The sequence below is a fragment of the Homo sapiens genome, chromosome 1 (genome assembly GCF_000001405.40).
Source record: "Homo sapiens chromosome 1, GRCh38.p14 Primary Assembly".
Lineage (NCBI taxonomy): Eukaryota > Metazoa > Chordata > Mammalia > Primates > Hominidae > Homo > Homo sapiens.
The window spans coordinates 229,403,966-229,427,182 of NC_000001.11; the positions used below are offsets into that span (position 1 = coordinate 229,403,966).

At 49.3% G+C, this 23,217-nt stretch overlaps 1 long non-coding RNA gene and 1 pseudogene across 1 annotated transcript, besides 5 other annotated features; one reads left to right on the plus strand and one right to left on the minus strand.

Moving 5' to 3' along the window:
• Positions 3,047-4,012: an enhancer, noted in NCBI's record as "H3K27ac-H3K4me1 hESC enhancer chr1:229542759-229543724 (GRCh37/hg19 assembly coordinates)". NCBI's record gives its function as "activates a minimal SCP1, AML or CMV promoter by ChIP-STARR-seq in naive H9 embryonic stem cells {active_cell/tissue: H9 hESC(naive)}" and the evidence as "EXISTENCE:reporter gene assay evidence [ECO:0000049][PMID:30033119]".
• On the plus strand, positions 3,380-8,077 carry LOC124904541 (uncharacterized). Its single transcript, XR_007066925.1, has 2 exons — positions 3,380-3,903; positions 6,137-8,077. It is a non-coding gene; the product is annotated as an uncharacterized LOC124904541 (long non-coding RNA).
• On the minus strand, positions 6,535-6,802 carry RN7SKP276 (RN7SK pseudogene 276; annotated as a pseudogene).
• Positions 10,743-11,243: an enhancer, noted in NCBI's record as "H3K4me1 hESC enhancer chr1:229550455-229550955 (GRCh37/hg19 assembly coordinates)". NCBI's record gives its function as "activates a minimal SCP1, AML or CMV promoter by ChIP-STARR-seq in naive H9 embryonic stem cells {active_cell/tissue: H9 hESC(naive)}" and the evidence as "EXISTENCE:reporter gene assay evidence [ECO:0000049][PMID:30033119]".
• Positions 12,506-13,007: an enhancer, noted in NCBI's record as "NANOG hESC enhancer chr1:229552218-229552719 (GRCh37/hg19 assembly coordinates)". NCBI's record gives its function as "activates a minimal SCP1, AML or CMV promoter by ChIP-STARR-seq in primed H9 embryonic stem cells {active_cell/tissue: H9 hESC(primed)}" and the evidence as "EXISTENCE:reporter gene assay evidence [ECO:0000049][PMID:30033119]".
• Positions 13,639-14,394: an enhancer, noted in NCBI's record as "OCT4-NANOG-H3K27ac hESC enhancer chr1:229553351-229554106 (GRCh37/hg19 assembly coordinates)". NCBI's record gives its function as "activates a minimal SCP1, AML or CMV promoter by ChIP-STARR-seq in naive H9 embryonic stem cells {active_cell/tissue: H9 hESC(naive)}" and the evidence as "EXISTENCE:reporter gene assay evidence [ECO:0000049][PMID:30033119]".
• Positions 14,395-15,148: an enhancer, noted in NCBI's record as "OCT4-NANOG-H3K27ac hESC enhancer chr1:229554107-229554860 (GRCh37/hg19 assembly coordinates)". NCBI's record gives its function as "activates a minimal SCP1, AML or CMV promoter by ChIP-STARR-seq in naive and primed H9 embryonic stem cells {active_cell/tissue: H9 hESC(naive and primed)}" and the evidence as "EXISTENCE:reporter gene assay evidence [ECO:0000049][PMID:30033119]".

Here is a 23,217-nt window from a genome sequence, read left to right on the forward strand (position 1 = left end):
GACACCCCATCCAGCAGGAGGTGCCGGCATCAGCTCTAAAGTGACCAAGGAGCTACCAGCATAGTAAGGGGGAAGGGTGGCACCCAGAGACCAGAGAAAGGATGCCCAGAAGACAAAGGCCAGACCATGAGGACAGGACTCCTTCCCATCCTTATGAGAGCTGGCTCTGGAATGAGGGGCTATTTTGTGGGGATGGGCCATTTGAGTCTGACTCCATTGGTAGCTATATGATGGCAGGCAACTGGGTGAAAAGTAAAAATAGAGTCCTCTTGAGATAGATACAAAAGTAAAAATACATATGTCCTCTTGAGATAGAAATTGGATAAGCAGCCAGGTGTGGTGGCTCATGCCTGTAATCCCAGCACTTTGGGAAGCCGAGGTGGGATGACTGCTTGAGTCCAGGAGTTCAAGACCAGCCTGGGCAACATAAGGAGAGCTCATCTCTACAAATAATAATTTTTAAAAAGTTAGCTGGGTGTGGTGGTGCACACCTATGGTCCCAGATACTCAGGAGGCTGGGGTGGGAGGATTGCTTGAGCTCTAACAGTTGAGGCTGCAGTGAGCCAAGATCATACCATGGCACTCCGGCCTGAGAGACAGAGCAATGCCCTTCTTTTTTTTTTTTTTTTTTTTGAGACGGAGTCTCGCTCTGTCGCCCAGGCTGGAGTGCAGTGGTGCGATCTTGGTTCACTGCAAGCTCCGCCTCCCGGGTTCACACCATTCTCCTGCCTCAGCCTCCCAAGTAGCTGGGACTAAAGGCGGCCACCACCATGCCCGGCTAATTTTTTGTATTTTTTTAGTAGAGATGGGGTTTCACCGTGTTAGCCAGGATGGTCTCGATCTCCTGACCTCGTGATTCGCCCACCTGGGCCTCCCAAAGTGCTGGGATTACAGGCGTGAGCCACCGCGCCCGGCCTGAGCAACACCCTTAACAGAAAGTAAGGAAGTGCTGGATAAACAGAAGTATTATGGCATGTCAAAAGAACACAGGAGCCAACCCAAAAGAGCTTCAGATGGGCAAAGCTGGAACCATTTAAGCAACAAAATAAAGAACAAATAATCGGATTATAACCCAAGGTACAAAATAAATATATGTACTTTCATACTGATGTAAATTATGATTGAATAGTGAGAAAGGGTGGCTCCTCCCTACAAAGGATTCCAAACAATATATTAGATGCATCCCCATCCAGGAGGTGGAGTTTAATCTCCCCACCCACAACAAGCCTGGGCTCCAAAGAATGTTGTAGAAAAAGCGAAAAACAGTGACTTAAGAGTAGAGAGATCTGGCGGACACCACCTTAACCAAATGATTAGTGTGAACATTACCAGAGATGGCGTGCCATGTACCCGCTGCTAGGATGCCGTGAGAAGGGCATTCCACCTTTTTTTTTTTTTTTTTTTTTTGAGATGGAGTTTCACACTGTCACCCAGGCTGGAGTGCAGTGGTGCAATCTCAGCTGACTGCAACCTCTGCCTCCCGGGTTCTAGCAATTCTCCTGCCTCAGCCTCCCAAGTAGCTGGGATTACACGCACCCCACCACACCACACCCAGCTAATTTTTTGCATTTTTAGTAGAGACAGGGTTTCACTATGTTGGCCAGGCTGGTCTCAAACTCCTGACCTCATGATCCACCTGCCTCAGCCTCCCAAAGTGATGAAATTACAGGCATGAGCCATCACACCCGGCTGGCACTCCACCTCTTTAGTGTTCTTTCCAAACACCCACAACCCCAGGCTAATCATGAGAGAAACATCAGAGAAAATCCACATTGAGGACATTCTACAAATCTCCATCTACAAAGGAGTATTACCAGACTCCTCAAAACTGTCAAGGTCACGAAAAACAAGGAAAGACTGAGAATCTATTACAGACCAGAGGAGAATAAGAAAACATGATGGCTATGTATAACGTGGCATCCTCAATGGGATCCTGGAAGAGAAAGAGGGCATTCTATGGGAAAACAGGTAAAATCCAAGTAAAACCTGGAGTTTAAGTAATGTGAATGTACCAGGCATGGTGGCTCACACCTGTAATCCCAGCACTTTCAGAGGCCAAGGTGGGAGGATCCGCTGAAGCCGGGAGTTCATAGACCAACCTGGACAACAAAGCAAGACCCCTCTCTCTACAAATAATTTTTTTACAATTCAAAAATAGGCCGGGCGTGGTGGCTCATGCCTGTAATCTCACCACTTTGGGAGGCCGAGGCAGGTGGATCACTTGAGGTCCAGAGTTCGAGACCAGCCTGGCCAACATGGTGAAGCCCCATCTCTACTAAAAAATACAAAAATTAGCCGGGCGTGGTGGTGCATGGCTGTAATCCCAGCTACCTGGGAGGCTGAGACAGGAGAATCTCTTGAATCCAGGAGGTGGAAGTTGCAGTGAGCCTAGATTGTGCCACTGCACTCCACCCTGGGCGACAGAGCAAGACTCCATCTCAAAAAAAAAAAAAATGGAATTTGCCATAACTGATTCTTTAGTGTGATGGTTGTACCAAGGTAATGTACAGTGTTAACAATAGGGGGAACTGGGTACAGGATATATGGAAACCTATGTCCCACCAGAGCAACTTCAAATTTTTCTGCAAATCTCAAATTTGCCCAAAATAAAAGTTTATTTGAATAAAAGCTTGAGCTCTAATTGAGGTTTTAAAAAAATGTATCCTTTTAAAAATGCATTCAATGAACACACATATAGAACTTCACCTGCTCAAGGCACTATTCTAAGTGCAGCACAAATGTTAACTCCTCATTGTGGTCTTGTTATCCCATGTAACCCCTCTGCTGCTGTCTGGCTCAGCGGGACATTCTCCTCCACTTACTATCCTACCTCTCAGCTCATGTTTGTAGCCTGTGGTCGGCACCATATCAACCAAGGTTGGTCTCAGCCCCTGCTCTGATTGCCATCAAAAAAAGTGTCGTGCCCTCCACACAGCCCCCAAAAGACAAACAAAGGCCATTCACAAAAGACCTCTGTGTGTATCAGATGTCTCTGCTGTTTCAGAAGCAGCGGTTGGGCAGTCTCCACCAGACAGAGAGCCCGGCCTCTGACCACTCTCCCCCTCTCCCCTCCCCTCCCGCCCTGGTCTCTCGGTTTAGTTCATGCTGAGGTTGGTCGCTTGTTTCATTCACTGTCTCCTACGCAGTCCATGCCACGGGGGATAAGTTTTTCACAAGTGGCTTTTTTTCCCCACAGTGAAGAGACGTGGCCTGGGTCTGGAGTTCCTCAACCGGCAAAATACGACGTGAACAGCTCCTGCACCCAAAAAGGCCCCGAGTTAACTCTGCTGCATAGGCGAGGCAGGCACCGCGCCGCCAGTCGGGGACGCAGAGCGAGCGCGTCCTCTGGGATTTGAAGGCCGCCCCCGTCAAAGTTGGCATTCGGGGGCCTGCGTGTTCCGGAGCTACGGAGCGGCAACTGAGGCAGGAGCTCAGGACTGGGGGGAGAAAGAGAGACCCTGGAAGCGATTAACGTGCCCCTTGCTTTACAGATGTGGCAGATAAGACACGAGAGGGAGCTCTGGTCCCCGAGGGGCTGTCCCGGGAGGGAGCGAGGTGGGGAGGGGGAGCAGGCCCTGCCCCGAGCACCCCGCGGACTGAGCGTCTGGCGTGCACGGCGGAGGGGTTACCGCGGGGAGGTGACACCCCAGGGTGGTGAGGGCACGCAGATGAGGCTGGCCTGAGGGGTGCCTGCTTTGGGGAAAGCAGTCTGTGGAGGGAGGGAAGGAGGGCGATCGCGGCCCCACGCGGGTTGTGCTGCTGAGGCTCCGCGCCGCAGGAAAGGCACCCTAGCCGGATTCGCCCTCGGACGCCCCAGCTGGGCACACTCACGCGGCTCTCCCGCGGCTTCTCGGGAATTCGCCTCCAGGGCAATCAGCTCTTCGCACAAACGTTCAAACCAAGGTAAGAGCTATCAGATCCAGCCAGATCTGCTTCCTAAGCCTGGCCAGGGCCCTAAGCACCCCCACCCACACGCTCAGAGGCGGGCGACGCCGAGGCAGCGCGAACCCGCCCCACGCGGTCAGCTCCAAGGCGCCCTGTTTAGCGTTACCTCTGCGACCCTGGGATGGGCCTGGGCAGGGGCTGGCTTCCCCTGGCTAAACGCAGTCAATGAAGGGGGTTCACTTTCCTAAATACGCCGGCCTCTGCCCATATCCCCCGTGCAAAAACGCAGGGCCCCTCTCCCTCCAGTCGATGGTCCTTAGGCGTCGGAAAGGGCAGAAGAGTTCGCTTTTCTCCCAGCCCGAAGCTTAGCCTAACAGGGCCCTGCCTGTGGGGCAAGGTGGGCCCTGCCCTGGATGGGACCCCACCCACCCCTCCAGGAGCAGTAGGTCCCATTGAGTCACGATATTATCCACCCTGGTAAACTTGCTCGTATGTTACCAAGAGGAGGAGGCTGTTAGGCCCTTGTCAGCCGTGAGCTAGGATAATCTAGGGAACAGAAAGAAGCCATCAGGTGCAGGGTGCCGGAGGGACATCTAAGCAAGGCAGGCCTCATGTGGCCTCATGGACAGTGGGGATGAGAAATGGCACCTTCTTCATTCTGCCTGGAAGCAGGCAGTGGGCCAGGTCTCTCTCAGCCGGGCTGAGGACCCTGGACAGAGCTCAGATTCCGGATACAGTTCCTCCACAGAGTGGGGTGGGAATCCGGGTGGGCCCCACCCACTGAGGCTCACCCAGGCTGCAGGAATCCCTGGGACCTAATAATACACACAAATCAGAAAACGGGCTGCAGGCCCTGGCCATGCAAGGAGAGAAAGAAAGCTGACGCCTGTCCTAGCCTGTCCCCACTGGCCTTGCCCTAAAAGCAGCAGGGCGTCTGGTCCCAGAGCCCAAGGCCTCACTGGCTGGGCAGCCAATAGCATCCCTATATCAAGAGGATGAGCACGCTGCAGGGAATGGCAGGCATGTGGCCCAGCTGTCACAGTGAGCACAGCCCCATGGGCCCGCCTGGGCTGCCTGCCTCAGGCTTCTCCCACTCCACAGCCTCCTTCCTGTCCCAGGCTCTGGAGCCAGCAGAGGAGCTGCAGTCAAACCAGCTCAGGCACTTTCAGCCTAGTTAGGAAGACCAGGCAGCTGTAGGGAGGGGAAGGGGAATAAATACAGCCTGATAATGGGGAGCCTGTGAAATGGAACACAAGGAGGTCGCTTAGAGGACGGCAAAGGTAAAAACCTGCTTAAGGAAGGCGGAGGGTACTGTTCTCAACACTGGCTCTGACTGACGGGTTCTAGAGGGAAATGCTCCCTTTTATCTCCCACCCAGGAAGGAGTCTGAGAGCTTCCATGCCCCAGACTTGCCCACCATCCCCACCACCACGTCCCCTCTGAACATTCCGTGACGCTAGAGACACAGGCTCCAGGACTTTATGATCCACCATCAGCCTTGTTTTTCAAATCTACTCAATGGGAATACGTCTAGCTTTCCTCCTAAGCAGGCAGCTCATTACATCCTTGGCCCTGGAGGAAAGTTCCCTTCACCCAGTTCAGGGTGGATACAGATGCCAGGAGACTCGCTGATCAGCCACCAGGCCCTCTCTGAGCCGTCCCTGGGTGTAAGGACCTGCATGGGCTCCTAGGGGGCACGTTATGAAGGAAACTTGGCCACTGCTTTCAAGGAGTACCTGAGATTAACAAGACCCAAGTGAGAAAGCTGGTGCCGAGGGAGGGTGTCCAAGCAGTTCAAGGCTACCTTCTGCCCAGAGTCGTGGACCCCACACACACAGCTCCGTGTGCATGTGAAGGAAAGGCAAAGCAGTTTGAATTCCTGATCAGAAGGGTGGGAGCATGGTGTGGAGTGAGCTCCCAGGCCTCCCTGGAGCCAGGCACCTGAGCCACTGAGAGACAACGTCCCTGAGAAGGGACCAAAGTGCAGAGAAGGAGGGGGTGGTGCAAGGGATGGGGGAGGGGGGCGCAGGAGAGCTCAGGGTGTGCACTGAGGCCGCGGGCCCGGGGAGCTCCCAGGCAGGGTCTGGATGCTCTTGTCTTTCCCCCAGACCATGAGAATCCTGGGGAGATGCCCACCAGTGCCGCTCTCCTGGCTCTTAAGTTTGGATTTAAAGCTGTGCTTACTTATCCAAGGGGCTGGGAGAAAGCACAAGCCCTTTGTCAGCGGCTCTCTTCTTCCTTCTACGTTCAGGCAGAGTGCGGGAAGGAAAGGACAGCTGATACCCAGGAGCCTCCAGAAAGGAGAGGGCTGTGCCATGGCCAGGCACCCCTGCACCCCTCCCCCAACACCCCAGGCATGGTCATCGGGCCCTTGGAGCTTTGCCAGGGCCAGGACTCTGCTTCGGCGTGCAGGCAGGACCTGGGAACCTGGGTCTCTGGCATCTTGTTCTGAACGTGGGGATTCTTCCGGAGGGCAGAGCAGACGTGCCCATGCCTCTTCTCCACCAAACCCAGGAGCTGGGAGCGAACAGCAGGGCCGGCATCCATCCCAGGCACACAGGGGCACACATCAGCTCTGGCTGCCCATCCCTCTCTGAGCATTGCAGAAAGGCGGGTGCCGCAGGGCTCCCAGCTCACCCCAAGTTCCTCTTAGCAATAGAAAACCTGAATTCCCCTCTTCTGAGTATTTTGAAGGCAACAGGATGTACATGTTCAACATTCATCTTCTGGTTTGAGCTCGTTCCGCGGTTCTAGCAGGGGAGTGGTATACACTTGACCACAGAACCGTTGTCCTCTATCAGAGAAGATTCTCCTCTTCCACCCAGCACGCAGCTTCAGGAGAGATCCACATGGAGCAGTGAGGGAGGAAAGGGATGCCTGCCTAAGCCAGCAGGTGTCAACCCATTCGAATCAACCCTCTGCAGAATGGTAGCCCCAGGCGGCGTGCCTGTCATTTGCTCTGATCATCTATTATGCGCACCGCATGATAGCAGCAGCCCCCCACCATCTGTTTAGGATCCTTATTATGTGGGTGTCACATTTAAGTGCCTATTAGCACAGCTTCCCTGAGCCCCTCCTGCAGCTGCTACCACCCTTTGGTGCCAAAGCCCAGGCGGTTGTTCTTGTTGACTCTGTTCTCCTTCCCAGAACACTGATTACTGCTGGGAGGGCTGGCAACTCCCCACAGCCCTCTAGAGCAGCAGCTGAAAGCGCCTGGTTATTAAAAAGGCTTAGAGCTCCTGATAAGAGAGAAGGATCGCTTTATAATTCCTATGTAGACTTCTAAATTATTCCCTCGGCCCTCATCCTCTGCCACCAGATTCCCCTCCACCAGTTGGAAGGCTTAGTTAACGAGTCAGATATGAGCAGGCGCTGATATAAAAATAGAGGCAGGCAGTGGGAGCTGGCACTGTGACTCACCGTGTGGCAGGCGTGGGGCTCTGCAGACAGCTGCAGGCAGGCCTTATGCCCTCCCCCTCGGCCTCCTCTTCCCCTCCCCTACCTCTCCCTGTCCCCTCCTCCCCCCCTCCCCCTCCTCCTCTCTCCTCTCCTAGTTCCCTCTCCCTTCCTTCCCTTTCCTCCCCTTTCCGTCTCCCTTCTCCCCCCCACCCCTTCATCTCTCCTTCCTCCCTCTCCCCTCCCCCCTCCCCTTTCCAGCCCCAGAGCACAGGCCTTCAAGCAGACCCTGGGTCCAGCCAGGCTTTTTGAGCAGGTTTCTCATATTTATCATTCCCTCGAGGCAGTGAGTGAAATGGGAGGGAATGCCGAAATAGCACAGACTCTCATTCTCCTGCGGGCTTTTTGAGTTTTCTGCAGAGAACATTCTAATGACCCTCCCTTCCAGCCCCAAGGCTCCAACAGACTGAGAGGAAGTAAAAGGGCTGCTGGGACCCAGGTCGTACCGCAATCTCAGGCCCAGCCTGCCCCCGTCTCCCCACTAGGCACGCCATCTCCAGGGCTCCCAACTTGCCTGGTTCCCCACACCAGCCGAAGCTCCCAAAGGAAGGTGCCCTCGTTGAGCATCCAAATGTGTGAATCAGAGACCTGAAAGCTATCATTCAGTTCTCCCTCCTACACCCACCGAGGCCAGGTTCTGTGTGCATGTGTGTGTGTGTTTCTCTCTCCCTCTGTCTCCTTAAAACAGTTCAATGGATTTCCATTGCTCTTAAAATAAAAATTATATATACATTCAGCAGTGGAGGGTCTGCACAGGCTAGATTGGCCAACTGTGCCTCCTTGACAACCCCACGCCACCCCTACCCTCTCTCCCAGCTACACTGACCTCCCTTCAGGACTTAAAGGATCCCAGGACCTTGCTAGAGGTGTTCAACCTGCCTTTCAGAGCTGCACTTGCTCTGGAAGCCCTTCCTGACCGAGGATTGGTCAATGCTGTCCCATGCCACACCCCTCCTTTGTAGCATGTGTGAAATGTGCAGAGGCACATTGGTTCAAGTTGCTATTTGGTTGTTTGCTTGAGATGGAATCTTACTCTATTGCCCACGCTGGAGGGCAATGGCACAATCGCGGCTGGCTGCAACCTCTGCCTCCCGGGTTTGAGGGATTCTCCTGTCAGGCCTCTGAGCCCAAGCTAAGCCATCGCAGCCCCGGTGACTTGCACATATATGCCCAGATGGCCTGAAGTAACTGAAGAATCACAAAAGAAGTGAAAATGGCCGGTCCTTGCCTTAAGTGATGACATTACCTTGTAAAAGTCCTTTTCCTGGCTCATCCTGGCTCAAAAAGCTCCCCTACTGAGCACCTTATGACCCCCACTCCTGCCAGCCAGAGAACAACCCCCCTTTTGACTGTAATTTTCCTTTACCTGCCCAAATCCTATAAAACTGCCCCACCCTTAACTCCCTTCGCTTTCTTTTCGGACTCAGCCCACCTGCACTCAGGTGAAATAAACAGCTTTATTGCTCACACAAAACCTGTTTGGTGGTCTCTTCACATGGACGCGCATGAAATATGTTGCTGTGACTGGGATCAGGGGACCTCCCTTGGGAGATCAATCCCCTGTCCTCCTGTTCTTTGCTCCGTGAAAAAGATCCACCTACGACCTCAGGTCCTCAGACCCACCAGCCCAAGGAACATCTCACCAATTTTAAATCAGGTAAGTGACCTCTTCTTACTCTCTTCTCCAACCTTTCTCATTGTCCCTCAACCACTTTCTCCTTTCCACTCTTCAATCTCTCCCTTTTCTTAATTTCAATTCCTTTCATTTTCTGGTAGAGACAAAGGAGACACGTTTTATCTGTGGACCCAAAACTCTGGCGCCGGTCATGGACTGGCAAGGCAGCCTTCCCTTGGTGTCTAATCATTGCAGGGACACCTCTCTGATTATTAACCCAGGTTTCAGAGGTGTCAGACCATGCAGGGACGCCTGACTTGGTCCTTCACCCTTAGCAGCAAATCCCGCTTTTCTGGGGGAGGGGCAAGTACCCCAACCCCTTCTCATGTCTCTACCCCTTCTCTGCCTTTCTGGGGGGCAAGAAACCCCCAACCCCTTCTGCTTCACTCTTAGCGGCAAGTCCTGCTTTTCTGGGGAAGGGGCAAGTACCCCAACCCCTTATCTCTGTGTCTCTACCCCTTCTCTGCTTTTCTGGGGGAGGGGCAAGTACCCTTCAACCCCTTCTCCTTCACCCTTAGTGGCAAGTCTCACTTTTCTAGGGGGCAAGAACCCCCAATCCCTTATTTCCATGCCCCAACCCCTTTCCCACTTTTCTGGAGGGTAAGAACCCCCAAACCCCTTCCCTCCGTGTCTCTATGCTCTCTTTTCTCTGGGCTTGCCTCCTTCACTATGGGCAACCTTCCACCCTCCATTCCTCCTCCTTCTCCCTTAGTCTGTGTTCTCAAGAACTTAAAAACCTCTTCAACTCACACCTGACCTCAAACCTAAATGCCTTATTTTCTTCTGCAATGCCGCTTGACCCCAATACAAACTTGACAGTGGTTCCAAATAGCCAGAAAACAGCACTTTGAATTTTTCCATCCTGCAAGATCTACATAATTCTTGTCGTAAAATAGGCAAACGGTCTGAGGTGCCTGATGTCCAGGCATTCTTTTACACATCAGTCCCTTCCTAGTCTCTGTGCCCAATGCAACTTGTCCCAAATCTTCCTTCTTTCCCTCCTGCCTGTCCCCTCAGTCCCAACCCCAAGGGTCGCTGAGTCTTTCTAATCTTCCTTTTCTACAGACCCATCTGACCTCTCCCCTCCTCACCAGGCTGAGCTAGGTCCCAATTCTTCCTCAGCCTCCGCTCCTCCACCCTATAATCTTTTTATCGCCTCCCCTCCTCACACCTGGTCCGGCTTACAGTTTCGTTCCGTGACTAGCCCTCCCCCACCTGCCCAGCAATTTCCTCTTAAAAAGGTGGCTGGAGCTAAAGGCATAGTCAAGGTTAATGCTCCTTTTTCTTTATCCCAAATCTGATAGCGTTTAGGCTCTTTTTCATCAAATATAAAAATCCAGCCCAGTTCATGGCTCGTTTGGCAGCAACCCTGAGACGCTTTACAGCCCTGGACCCTAAAAGGTCAAAAGGCCGTCTTATTCTCAATATGCATTTTATTACCCAATCTGCTCCTGACATTAAATAAAACTCCAAAACTTAAATTCCAGCCCTCAAACCCCACAACAGGATTTAATTAACCTTGCCTTCAAGGTGTACAATAATAGAAAAAAGTTGCAATTCCTTGCCTCCACTGTGAGACAAACCCCAGCCACATCTCCAGCACACAAGAACTTCCAAACGCCTGAACCGCAGCTGCCAGGCGTTCCTCCAGAACCTCCTCCCACAGGAGCTTGCTACATGTGCCGGAAATCTGGCCACCGGGCCAAGGAATGCCCACAGCCCGGGATTCCTCCTAAGCCATGTCCCATCTGTGTGGGACCCCACTGAAAATCAGACTGTTCAACTAACCTGGCAGCCAGTTCCAGAGCCCCTGGAACTCTGGCCCAAGGCTCTCTGACTGACTCCTTCCCAGATCTTCTCGGCTTAGCAGCTGAAGACTGACACTGCCCGATCGCCTCGGAAGCCTACAGGACCGTCACAGATGCTCTAGGTAACTCTCGCAGTAGAGGATAAGTCCATCCCCTTCTTAATACGGAGGCCACCCACTCCACATTACCTTCTTTTCAAGGGCCTGTTTCCCTTGCCTCCATAACTATTGTGGGTATTGACGGCCAGGCTTCTAAACCTCTTAAAACTCCTCAACTCTAGTGCCAACTTAGACAACATTCTTTTATGCACTCTCTTTTAGTTATCCCCACCTGCCCAGCTCCCTTATTAGGCCAAGACATTTTAACTAAATTATCTGCTTCCCTATTCCTGGACTACAGCCGCATCTCATTGCCAGCCTTCTCCCAAACCCAAAGCCTCCTTTGCATCTTCCTCTTGTATCCCCCCACCTTAACCACAAGTATGGGACATCTCTACTCCTTCCCTGGCAACCGATCACATGCCCATTACCATCCCATTAAAACCTAATCACCCTTACCCCGCTCAACGCCAATATCCCATCCCACAGCACACTTTAAAAGGATTAAAGCCTGTTATCACTCGCCTGCTACAGCATAGGCTTCTAAAACCTATGAACTCCCCTTACAATTTCCCCATTTCACCTGTCCTAAAACTAGACAAGGCTTACAGGCTGATTCAAGATCTGCGACTTATCAACCAAATTATTTTGCCTATCCACCCCATGGTGCCGAACCCATATACTCTCCTATCCTCAGTACCTCCCTCCACAGCCCATTATTCTGTTCTAGATCTCAAACATGCTTTCTTTACTATTCCTTTGCACCCTTCATCCCAGCCTCTCTTCACTTTCACTTGGACTAATCCTGACACCCATCAGGCTCAGCAAATTACCTGGGCTGTACTGCTGCAAGGCTTCACAGACATCCCCCATTACTTCAGTCAAGCCCAAATTTCAACCTCATCTGTTACCTATCTCGGCATAATTCTCATAAAAACACTCGTGCTCTCCCTGCTGATCGTGTCCGGCTAATCTCCCAAACCCCAATCCTTTCTACAAAACAACAACTCCTTTCCTTCCTAGGCATGGTTAGTGCGGTCAGAATTCTTACACAAGAGCCAGGACCGCACCCTGTAGGCTTTCTGTCGAAACAACTTGACCTTACTGTTTTAGCCTCGCCCTCATGTCTGCTTGCAGTGGCTGCCACTGCTTTAATACTTTTAGAGGCCCTCAAAATCACAAACTATGCTCAACTCACTCTCTACAGTTCTCATAACTTCCAAAATCTATTTTCTTCCTCACACCTGATGCATACACTTTCTGCTCCTCAGCTCCTTCAGCTGTACTCACTCTTTGTTAAGTCCCACAATTACCATTGTTCCTGGCCCAGACTTCAATCCGGCCTCCCACATTATTCCAGATACCACACCTGACCCTCATGACTGCATCTCTCTGATCCACCTGACGTTCACCCCATATCCCCACGTTTCCTTCTTTCCTGTTTCTCACCCTGATCACATTTGGTTTATTGATGGCAGTTCCACCAGGCCTAATCGCCACTCACCAGCAAAGGCAGGCTACGCTATAGTATCTTCCACATTTATCATTGAGGCTACTGCTCTGCCCCCCTCCACTATCTCTCAGAAAGCCGAACTAGTTGCCTTAACTCAAGCCCTCACTCTTGCAAAAAGACTATGCGTCAATATCTATACTGATTCTAAATATGCCTTTCATATTCTGCACCACCATGTGGTCACATGGGCTGAAAGAGGTTTCCTCACTACGCAAGGGTCCTCCATCATTAATGCCTCTAATAAAAACTCTGCTCAAGGCCGCTTCACTTCCAAAGGAAGCTGGAGTCATTCACTGCAAAGGCCATCAAAAGGCATCAGATCCCATTGCTCTAGGCAACGCTTATGCTGATAAGGTGGCTAGACAAGCAGCTAGCTCTCCACCTTCTGTCCCTTACAGCCAGTTTTTCTCCTTCACATCAGTCATTCCCACCTACTCCCCTGCTGAAACTTCCACCTATCAATCTCTTCCCACACAAGGCAAATGGTTCTTAGACCAAGGAAAATATCTCCTTGCAGCCTCACAGTCCCATTCTATTCTGTTGTCATTTCATAACCTCTTCCATGTAGGTTACAAGCCGCTAGCCCGTCTCTTAGAACCTCTCATTTCCTTTCCATCCTGGAAATCTATCCTCAAGGAAATCACTTCTCAGTGTTCCATCTGCTATTCTACTGCCCCTCAGGGATTGTTCAGGCCTCCTCCCTTCCCTACACATCAAGCTCGGGGATTTGCCCCTGCCCAGGACTGGCAAATTGACTTTACTCACATGCCCCGAGTCAGGAAACTAAAATATCTCCTAGTCTAGGTAGACACTTTCACTGGATAGGTAGAGGCCTTTCCTACAGGGTCTGAGAAGTCCACCGCGGTCATTTCTTCCCTTCTGTCAGACATAATTCCTCGGTTTGGCCTTCCCACCTCTATACAGTCAGATAGCAGACCGGCCTTTATTAGTCAAATCAGCCAAGCATTTTTTTCAGGCTCTTAGTATTCAGTGAAACCTTTATATCCCTTACGGTCCTCAGTCTTCAGGAAAGGTAGAACAGACTAATAGTCTTTTAAAAACACACCTCACCAAGCTCAGCCACCAACTTAAAAAGGACTGGACAATACTTTTACCACTTTCCCTTCTCAGAATTCAAGCCTGTCCTCAGAATGCTACAAGGTACAGCCCATTTGAGCTCCTGTATAGATGCTCCTTTTTATTAGGCCCCAGTCTCATTCCAGACACCAGACCAACTTGGACGGTGCTCCAAAAAAATTGTCATCCCTACTATCTTCTGTCTAGTCATAATCCTATTCACCGTTCTCAGCTACTCACACATGCCCTGCTTTTGTTTACACTGCCGGTTTATACTGTTTCTCCAAGCCATCACAGCTGATATGGATGCTATCCCCAAACTGCCACTCTTAAGTCTTAAAGTAAATAATCTTTGCTGGCAGGACTATGCTGAACCTCCTTAGGCACTCTCTAATTAGATGTCCTGGGTCCTCCCAATTCTTAGACCTTTAATACCTGTTTTTCTCCTTCTCTTATTCTGTTTAGTTTTTCAATTCATACAAAACTGTATCCAGGCCATCACCAATAATTCTAAATGACAAATGTTTCTTCTAACAACCCCACAATGTCACCCCTTACCACAAAATCTTCCTTCAGCTTAATCTCTCCCACTCTAGGTTCCCACGCCGCCCCTAATCCCACTTGAAGCAGCCCTGAGAAACATCGCCCATTCTCTCTCCATACCACCCCCCAAAAATTTTCGCCGCCCTAACACTTCAACACTATTTTGCTTTATTTTTCTTATTAATATAAGAAGGCAGGAATGTCAGGCCTCTGAGCCCAAGCCAAGCCATCACACCCCCGGTGACTTGCACATATACACCCAGATGGCCTGAAGTAACTGAAGAATCACAAAAGAAGTCAAAATGCCCTGCCCTACCTTAACTGATGACATTCCACCACAAAAGAAGTGAAAATGGCCGGTCCTTGCCTTAAGTGATGACATTACCTTGTAAAAGTCCTTTTCCTGGCTCATTCTGGCTCAAAAAGCTCCCCTACTGAGCACCTTATGACCCCCACTCCTGCCCGCCAGAGAACAACCCCCCTTTTGACTGTAATTTTCCTTTACCTGCCCAAATCCTATAAAACGGCCCCACCCTTAATTCCCTTTGTTTTCTTTTCGGACTCAGCCCACCTGCACCCAGGTGAAATAAACAGCTTTGTTGCTCACACAAAGCCTGTTTGGTGGTCTCTTCACAAGGCGCATGAAACTCCCACCTCAGCCTCCTGAGTAGCTGGGATTACAGGCACCCACCACCACACCTGGCTAATTTTTGTATCTTTAAGAGAGATGGGCAGGGCGCAGTGGCTTACGTCTGTAATCCCTTCACTTTGGGAGGTCAAGGAGGGCGGATCACAAGGTCAGGTGGCCGGAAGCAACTGAAGATCCACAAAAGAAGTGAAAATAGCCTTAACTGATGACATTCCACCATTGTGATTTGTTTCTGCCCCACCCTAACTGATCAATGTACTTTGTAATCTCCCCCACCCGTAAGAAAGTTCTTTGTAATTCTCCTCACCCTTGAGAATGTACTTAGTGAGATCCACCCCCTGCCCACAAAACATTGCTCCTAACTCCACCGCCTATCCCCAAACCTATAAGAACTAATGATAATCCACCACCCTTTGCTGACTCTCTTTTTGGACTCAGTCCCCCTGCACCTAAGTGAAATAAACAGCTTTGTTGCCCACACAAAGCCTGTTTGGTGATCTCTTCACACGGACACGTGAGACAGAGACCAGCCTGGCCAACATGGTGAAACTCCATCTCTACTAAAAATACAAAAATTGGCGGGGTGTGGTAGTGCATGCCTGTAATCCCAGCTACTCAGGAGGCTGAGGCAGGAGAATTACTTGAACCCGGGAGGTGGAGGTTGCAGTGAGCCGAGATGGTGCCACTGCACTCCAGCCTGGGTGACAGAGCGAGATTCTGTCTCAAAAAAAAAAAAAAGAGAGAGAGAGAGAGAGAGAGAGAGATGGGGTTTTACCATGTTGGCCAGGCTGGTCTCAAACTTCTGACCTCAGGTGATGCACCCACCTTGGCCTCCCAAAGTGCTGGGATTACAGGCCTGAGCCACTGCACCCAGCCCATGTTGCTGTTTGATCAATATCTGCCTCTCAGCTAGACTGCCAGCTCCCTGAGGGCCGAGACACTGATTTGTAGGTGCTCAGCAAGTGTCGGTTGAATAAATTAGTGAATTAATTGAGGATTGGAGGGGGTGCCAATAAGCAGGGCAATAGCAGGGGAGGGGGTTCTGGATCCGTTTGGAAAATAAGCTGAAGAATAATGTCAACTTGATTTTAGATGTCTTAATTTCTCAGACTGAGGAGCAGCACAGCTCCCTCCCATGTAGTCCCATAACCAGGAAAGTGCATGGAGGAAAAAGGACACAGACACTTCCCTGGCTGGGGGGCCACAGTGCCTGTGCTCTCCTGTAGCCTGGAACAATTCGCTTTGCCTCATGGTGCCCGGGGCTGCCCCTTGGAAAAAATACAGCCACCCAGTGCAGGGCTGGGACTGGGTGTGGGAAGTGAGGCACATCCTCTGTGCTGGTGGTACAAGTGCAAGTGCAGATTCTGGGGCCTCTCACCTCATCCTCATCCCAGCCTGAACCAGTGTTTGCCTTGCCCATGTCGGGAAGAGATCCCATGATAATTTCAGAGATGCTGAGTTTCCTGGCTTAAAAATTCCTGGTCTCCAGTGCCAGCGTGGTGTGGGAAAACACATGCAGCTCCCCCATCCCCCAAACCTGGGAGAATGACCCTGGTAGGTTCCGCCCCAGGGCACCTGGAGATCTGAGCATGGAGGTCTTCCGGGAGCCTCACTGTACCTGCATGGTCCTGCTTCCACCTGCCTGCCTTGCACTGAGCACTAGAGGCTGAAACAAACATTAGCAGAAAATCCAGATTCTAGAAACAGATGACATGCGCCCTGAGATGACGCCCTAACATGCGCCCTGACACGCGCCCAGGGATGACAGGCATCCTTTTGAAGCATTTACTTGAGAAGAAGTTCAAGTAGGGTTAAGTTATTCCATATAACTATATTCCATATCGCACGTCTCCGTTCCTGCAATGGTAGCGATACTCCATAAATATGTGTTGATGAATGGACAAAACTAAAGGGAGGGAAGAAAGTGGGGGAGAATCTTGAGCTCTGTAGCTTTGGAAGGAGAAAGAATACAGTGGAACCTTTTCTGAAGCTCTCAAGGAACGTGTCCTTGGAAAAATGTGACTCTCCCCCTTCTCCTAGCTTGCTCCCTCATCCTGCAGAAAAGCCGCTCCTCCCTCTTCCATGGCAGAATGGTATTGGCAGGGGAAACCTAATGTGCTAGGCAGAGCTGGGAATAGAACTCAGTCTCCTGAATTCCATATATTCTCTTTCCACCGATGTCTGCTAAGTGCATCCAGAATTGCTCTGGTGGACGGGGCAGGTCAATGAAAGCAGCAACTTGAGCTCCTTCCAGCAGGTGCCGCCTTGCATCACCTATGATCCCATGTGTCATTCACGTGTATGATTGTATATGATCCTCTGATCCCCTGCCCAGCCCAAGCCTCTAAGCTCCTCCATCTGTCGCAGGAGCCTGGCCTGTGGTCATCAGCAGGATTGTGAATGGATCCGCCCAAACTTGTCCTACTGGAAAGAGAATTCTGGTCTGCTGGACGAGTAGATCCTTTCTTTTCTGTTTAATTATTCATTTGTGCCATTTGATTTAATATTCTTAATGTTAACATAACGCGTATTTGTTGAAAAAATAATATTGGTGGAAACATTGAGGTACAAAAAGGTCAGGAAGAAAAATCCCCCCTCTTCCACCCCCGGAAGCTGTCATGATGATTTCTCACTTTGGCCTACTCTCTTCGTCCCCTTCGCCCTTCATTCTTTTCTTTTCTTTTTTTTTTTTTTTTTGTATTCATGGTTCAACTGATCCCTGTTGACACATGGCACGTTAGCTTTGGGTTGCGAGGGCTCCAGGCATCTCGGCCTCCCAGCTGGTGGCCTGTCATCCTGGGAAAATTTTCAGATTCGGTGCATTTTTAGGCCCAGGAAAAAGGCAACAGCTTTAAAATAAGGCATCAGAATTTGGGACAAACTTTCCGAAGCCTACATGTGAGATTTGAGATGTTTTTCAGGGGCGGCTAAAGACAAAGCTGGTAAGTAGGGTATGTTGAGGTCTATTTTTAGGGAATATGGTGGGCTAAGTTCTTGGGATTAACACTCCTATTGAAACCAACTAAAAATGCTTGATAGAACGTTATTTTTTCTTGAGACAGGGTCTTTTTTTTTTTTTTTTTTTTTTTTTTTTGAGATGGAGTCTCGCTCTGTCACCCAGGCTGGAGTGCAGTGGCGCGATCTCGGCTCACTGCAAGCTCCACCTCCCAGGTTCTCGCCATTCTCCTGCCTCAACCTCCCGAGTAGCTGGGACTACAGGCGCCCGCCACCACGCCCCGCTAATTTTTTTGTATTTTTTTAAGTGGAGACGGGGTTTCACCATGTTAGCCAGGATGGTCTCAATCTCCTGACCTCGTGATCCGCCCTCCTCGGCCTCCCAAAGTGCTGGGATTACAGGCTTGAGCCACCGCGTCCGGCTGAGACAGGATCTTATTCTGCTGCCCAGGCTGGAGTGAAGTGGTGCAATCTCGGCTCACTGCAGCCTCCACCTCCCAGGCTCAAATGACTCTCCCTCCTTAGCTTCCTGAGTAGCTGGGACTTCAGGTGCACGCCATTACCCCTGCTAATTAAAAAAAAAAATTTTTCGGTGGGGTTGGGAGCAAGGGGAGGGAGAGCATTAGGACAAATAGCTAATGCATGCGGTGCTTAAAACCTAGATGACGGGTTGATAGGTGCAGCAAACCATCATGGCACATGTATACCTATGTAACAAACCTGCATGTTCTGCACATGTAAAATGTGCAGAACTTAAAGTAAAATAAAAAATAATATTTTTTTTGTAGAGACAGGGTCTCACTATCTTGCCCAGGCTGGTCTTGAACTCCTGGGCTCAAGTGATCCTCCTGCCTCAGTCTCCCAAAGTGCTGGGATTACAGGCATAAGCCACCATGCCTGGCCTAAGATTTTTTTTAATCTTCTTATGAACACTGAAGAATTAACGGGTGGTAAAGAATTACTAAGCCAGAGTGTGGCATGATGGCATGTGCCTGTAGTGGCAGCTACTCAGGAGGCTGAGGCAGGAGGATCGTTTGAGCCCAGGAGTTCAAGATCAGCCTGGGCAACATAGTGAGACCCTGTCTCTAAAAAATAATAAATAAATAAATATTTTTTTAAAATTCAGACCAAAAAAAGAATTAGCCAAAATTTAAGAAAAGCTGTAAGTGCAAGGATCCTAGAAATAGCTCTTGTCCGGAGAGTGTTTGCTTATTCCAACTACCCTGCACTTGGGGTTTAACAGCTTTGCAAAGCCTGGGGCCTCCTTACAGGAAACTAAGACCCTGAAGGTCTACACCATTGGGTAAGCTTATAGCAGTGAACTATAAGCTAACCCTACCCTACACCTACACTCAGGGAATTTGCAACTTGTCTTGGCACTGAGCGCATGGTCTTGGTATGGAATGCTGATGGTCATGGTATGGGATGGAATGCAAACTTCTAGGAAATGGTAAATATAAACTCAGTTCTCATGTGTAGTTGCAGGACAGATTCATAATTCATATCACCTGGGGGACCAAGCGTCCTAAAGCTTTGAATTTACTTTAACACGGTCTTGGATTAGAAGCGTTTTTCTGGGAGAAGCAAACACAGACCCTCTCTGGGGAGAGTCACCTTTATTCTAAGTGTCCCACAAGTAACTCTTCAAGGACAATGAACGTGGCACATTTAAGTGCACATGGAAACAAGGCAGCAGGAGTAAGAACTAAAGCAGAAATAACAGAAACAAACACAATGATTTCAGCCACTGGGATTATCATATCTATATTATTATTATTATTATTATTATTATTATTATTATTTTGAGACAGAATCTCACTCTGTTGCCCAGGGTGAAGTGCAGTGGCATGATCTTGGCTCACTGCAACCTCTGCCTCCTGGGTTCAAGTGATTCTATTGCCTCAGCCCCCTGAGTAGCTGGGATTACGGGCATGTGACACCACACCCAGCTAATTTTTGTATTTTAGTACAGACGGGGTTTCACCATATTGACCAGGCTGGTCTTGAACTCCTGGCCTCAGGTGATCCACCCGCCTTGGCCTCCCAAAGTGCTGGGATTACAGGCATGAGCCACTGCACCCGGCCTCATATCTGTATTATTAAGAAACTATGCTTGCTCTGTTAAAGAAGTAAAAGATAAAATAACAAATTTTTTCAGGGAACAGAAAACTATAAGAATGTGACCTAGTTGATTTGGAAAATAATAAAACAATTTCTAAAACAAAAAAATTTAATACTCAATTAAATTTAATTTAAATTTAAAATAAATTTTAAATAGAAATTTAAAACTCAATGATATTGGTTAACAGGATATTAAGCAAGTTAAAGGAAGAGTTAGTGAACTGGAAGATCAGCTGGAGGAAATTACCTACAATGCCATTCAAAAAAACCCCCCATAAAAATACAGAAAAGAAGTTGCAAAGTTGTAAAATGTAAGCAGCCTGGGAAACAGCAAGACTTTGTCTCTACATTTTTTTTTTTTTCAGCTGGGTGTGGTGGCACATACCTGTAGTCCCAGCTACTTGGAAGGCTGAAGTGGGAGGATCACTGCACTGAGCTGTGATCATGCCACTGCACTCCAGTCTGGGTGACAGAGCAAGACCCTGTCTCAAAAAAATTATAAAAAATAAAAATTAAATAAAATGTAAAGAATATCAAGAAGTTCTGACACCCTAGTTTTTGCTTACAAAAAATTTTGCTTCTATTAGAAGGCATGTGAAGTAAAATGCACACCTTAAGGGTACAGTCCTGAATTTAACCTGTATATCCCAATCCTTTCTCAAGATATAGAACATTTTCATCACCACCAAAAGTTTCATAATGCTGGTTCTTAATCTCCTTCTCCACTCTCCAGTGGCAACCACAGTTCTAATTTTTTTTCCTAGTTTTGCCTATTCTCAAATTACAGTATATACTGCTCTGTGTAAATTTTCTTTTACTCAGCATGTTCTAGGGATCCATCATGTTGTTTTGTGTATCAACGGTTTGTTCCTTTTTATTGCTATGTAGTATTCATTATAAGCATACACACAGTTTGTTTATTCCTTTTCTTGTTGATGGATACCCAAGCTGTTACCAGTTTCTACTTTTATGAATAAAGCTGCTATTAGCATTCTTGCTCAAGTCTCTTTTTGAACATATGTTTTTATGCTTCATGGGTAAATTCCTAGGGGTGAAATTCTCAGGTATTAGAATAGTTGTATGTTTAGTTTTATAAGAAACTGCCAAATGCCTTTCCAAAGTTGTATCATTTTATATTCCCACTTAACAGAGTATGAGAATTTCAGTTACTCCACATGCTTGCCAATATTTGGTGTTACCAGTCTTTTTAATTTTAGCCATAATCATGGATGCATAGGAGTGTCTGCTATATCTTTTATTTTGAATCTTTCTGATGACATCAAGGGAATGGGCACTGTTCAAAAGGGAATGTCAGGCAGGGTGCAGTGACTCACGCCTGTAATCCCAGCACTTTGGGAGGCTGAGGTGGGTGGATCGCTTGAGGCCAGGAGTTTGAGACCAGCCTGGCCAACATGGCAAAACCCCGTCTCTACTAAAAATACAAAAATTAGATGGGAGTGGTGGCACGAACTTGTAATCCCAGCTACTCAGGAGGCTGAGGCATGAGAGTCACTTGAACCCAGGAGACGGAGGTTGCAGTGAGCCGAGATCATGCCACTGTACTCCAGCCTAGGTGACAGAGTAAGTGAGACTCTGCCTCAAAAAAAAAGAAGTGGGGGGAATGTCCCACAAATACAACGTTACCCAGCATGCTGTTGACATTGTTACAGACAAACAAGTTAAGGGCAATATTCTTGCCAAGATAATAAATGTTGTTATTGAGAATGTTAGGCACACAAGATAAATTCCTAAAACACATTGAACAAAAAAGATCAGTAAAAGAAAGAAGCCAAAGAGAAAGGTACCTATGTTCAACAGAAACACCAGCCTACCTCACCTGGAACAGCACACTTCATGAGAACCAAAGAAGCCTGAGCTGCTGGAACCTATTCTCTATGAAACTGTGGCATAATAGGTGTAAAAAAATTAAGATTTCTGGTTGAAGAAGAGGAGGAGGAGGGAAGGAGAAGAAAGAGGAGGAGGGGGGAGGATGAGAAGAGGAAGAGGAGGAGGAGGGGGAGGATGAGGAGAAGAGGAGGAGGAGGAGGAAGAAGAGAAGAGAAGGAGGAGGAGGAAGAAGAGAAGAGGAGGAGGAGGAAGAAGAGAAGAGGAGGAGGAGGAAGAAGAGAAGAGGAGGAGGAGGAAGAAGAGAAGAGAAGGAGGAGGAAGAGGAGGAGGGGATGAGAGGAGGAGGAGGAGGGGGAGGAGGAAGGCAGCAGTCAGGTGAACACACAGAGATACATTGAAACACACGGGGAAGAAGGCCATGTGGAGACGGAGGCAGAGGTTGGAGTGATGCATCTACAAGCCAAGGAACACCAAGAATTGCTGGCAACCACCAGAAGCTGGGAGAGGCATGGAAAGATTCTCCCTCAGAGCCTTCAGAAGGAACCTATCCTGCCAGCACCAGGATTCTAGGCTCCTGGCCCCCAGAACTGTGAGAATAAACTCCTGTTGTTTGAAGCCACTCATTTTGTGGTACTTTGTTACAGCAGCCAGAAGAACAGAACACAGGCACCAGGCACCGTGTAGGGAATTGGAGAAAATGGGGTGGTAAAGGCAATCCTGATTCTATTCACACCCATGAGAACCACCAATGTCATCTTTCCACCCTTCAAAATTTCCCTTTCCCTCACTCACCATCCCCAGAAATGGTTTAATATCAGGATAAGCCATTAAGAAATTGACAAGGAAGGCAGGGCCAGTCAAGTGCTTGGGGATCCTTCACCCAGTGACAGGCCCACCAGCTTCCTACGTGATATGGATGGCCCTGGGGGAGCCGCCCATGTTCCTGTCTCCCATGAGCTACCCTGCAGTTGCTTCTGCCACCTCACACCCCTTTTGGAAGTCGCAGCCCATGGCCTTCCCTAACAGTGCTCTGGCTGGGAGTGACAAGGATGCAGGTGGACATGGGACCCCCGTGTTCCCAGCATGCCACCTGTCTAACCAAGAAAGCAGGCTTCCTCAGCTTCTTTTTGAGAGCCACAGTGAAGCTCAAAAGCTTGTGGTAGCTCCTCAAAAGCCCTAGGACATAGCGACAGTGGTAAAACGAATACTTTCCAGAGGACATAGCAGGGCAGAAAGGAAATGGAAGGGACAGAAAGGGAGACAAAGAGGAGAGGCAGGCAGGCAGGCTGACCCCATGGGCAGAGCCCATTTCCCTGCAGTCCTTCTAGCTGAGGCACTGCTGGGTGAGGCCATGCCACTTTCTATGTCCCTGGAGCTGGGGAGAGAAGCAGGCCTTCTTGAGCACAATAAGGGATGTGTTTCCTCCATAAGAACGAGGATCTGGAACTCATCCCATCTTGTCAGAAAGCAATACTGTGCAGTGGAGCAGCCTCACAGTCACAACTAACTGCACAGAGTGAGAAACAGCCCAGCACCCACAGAATCCAAACAGTTCACAGTCAGGTGGTGCCCCCACCTCCTCTCCGCCA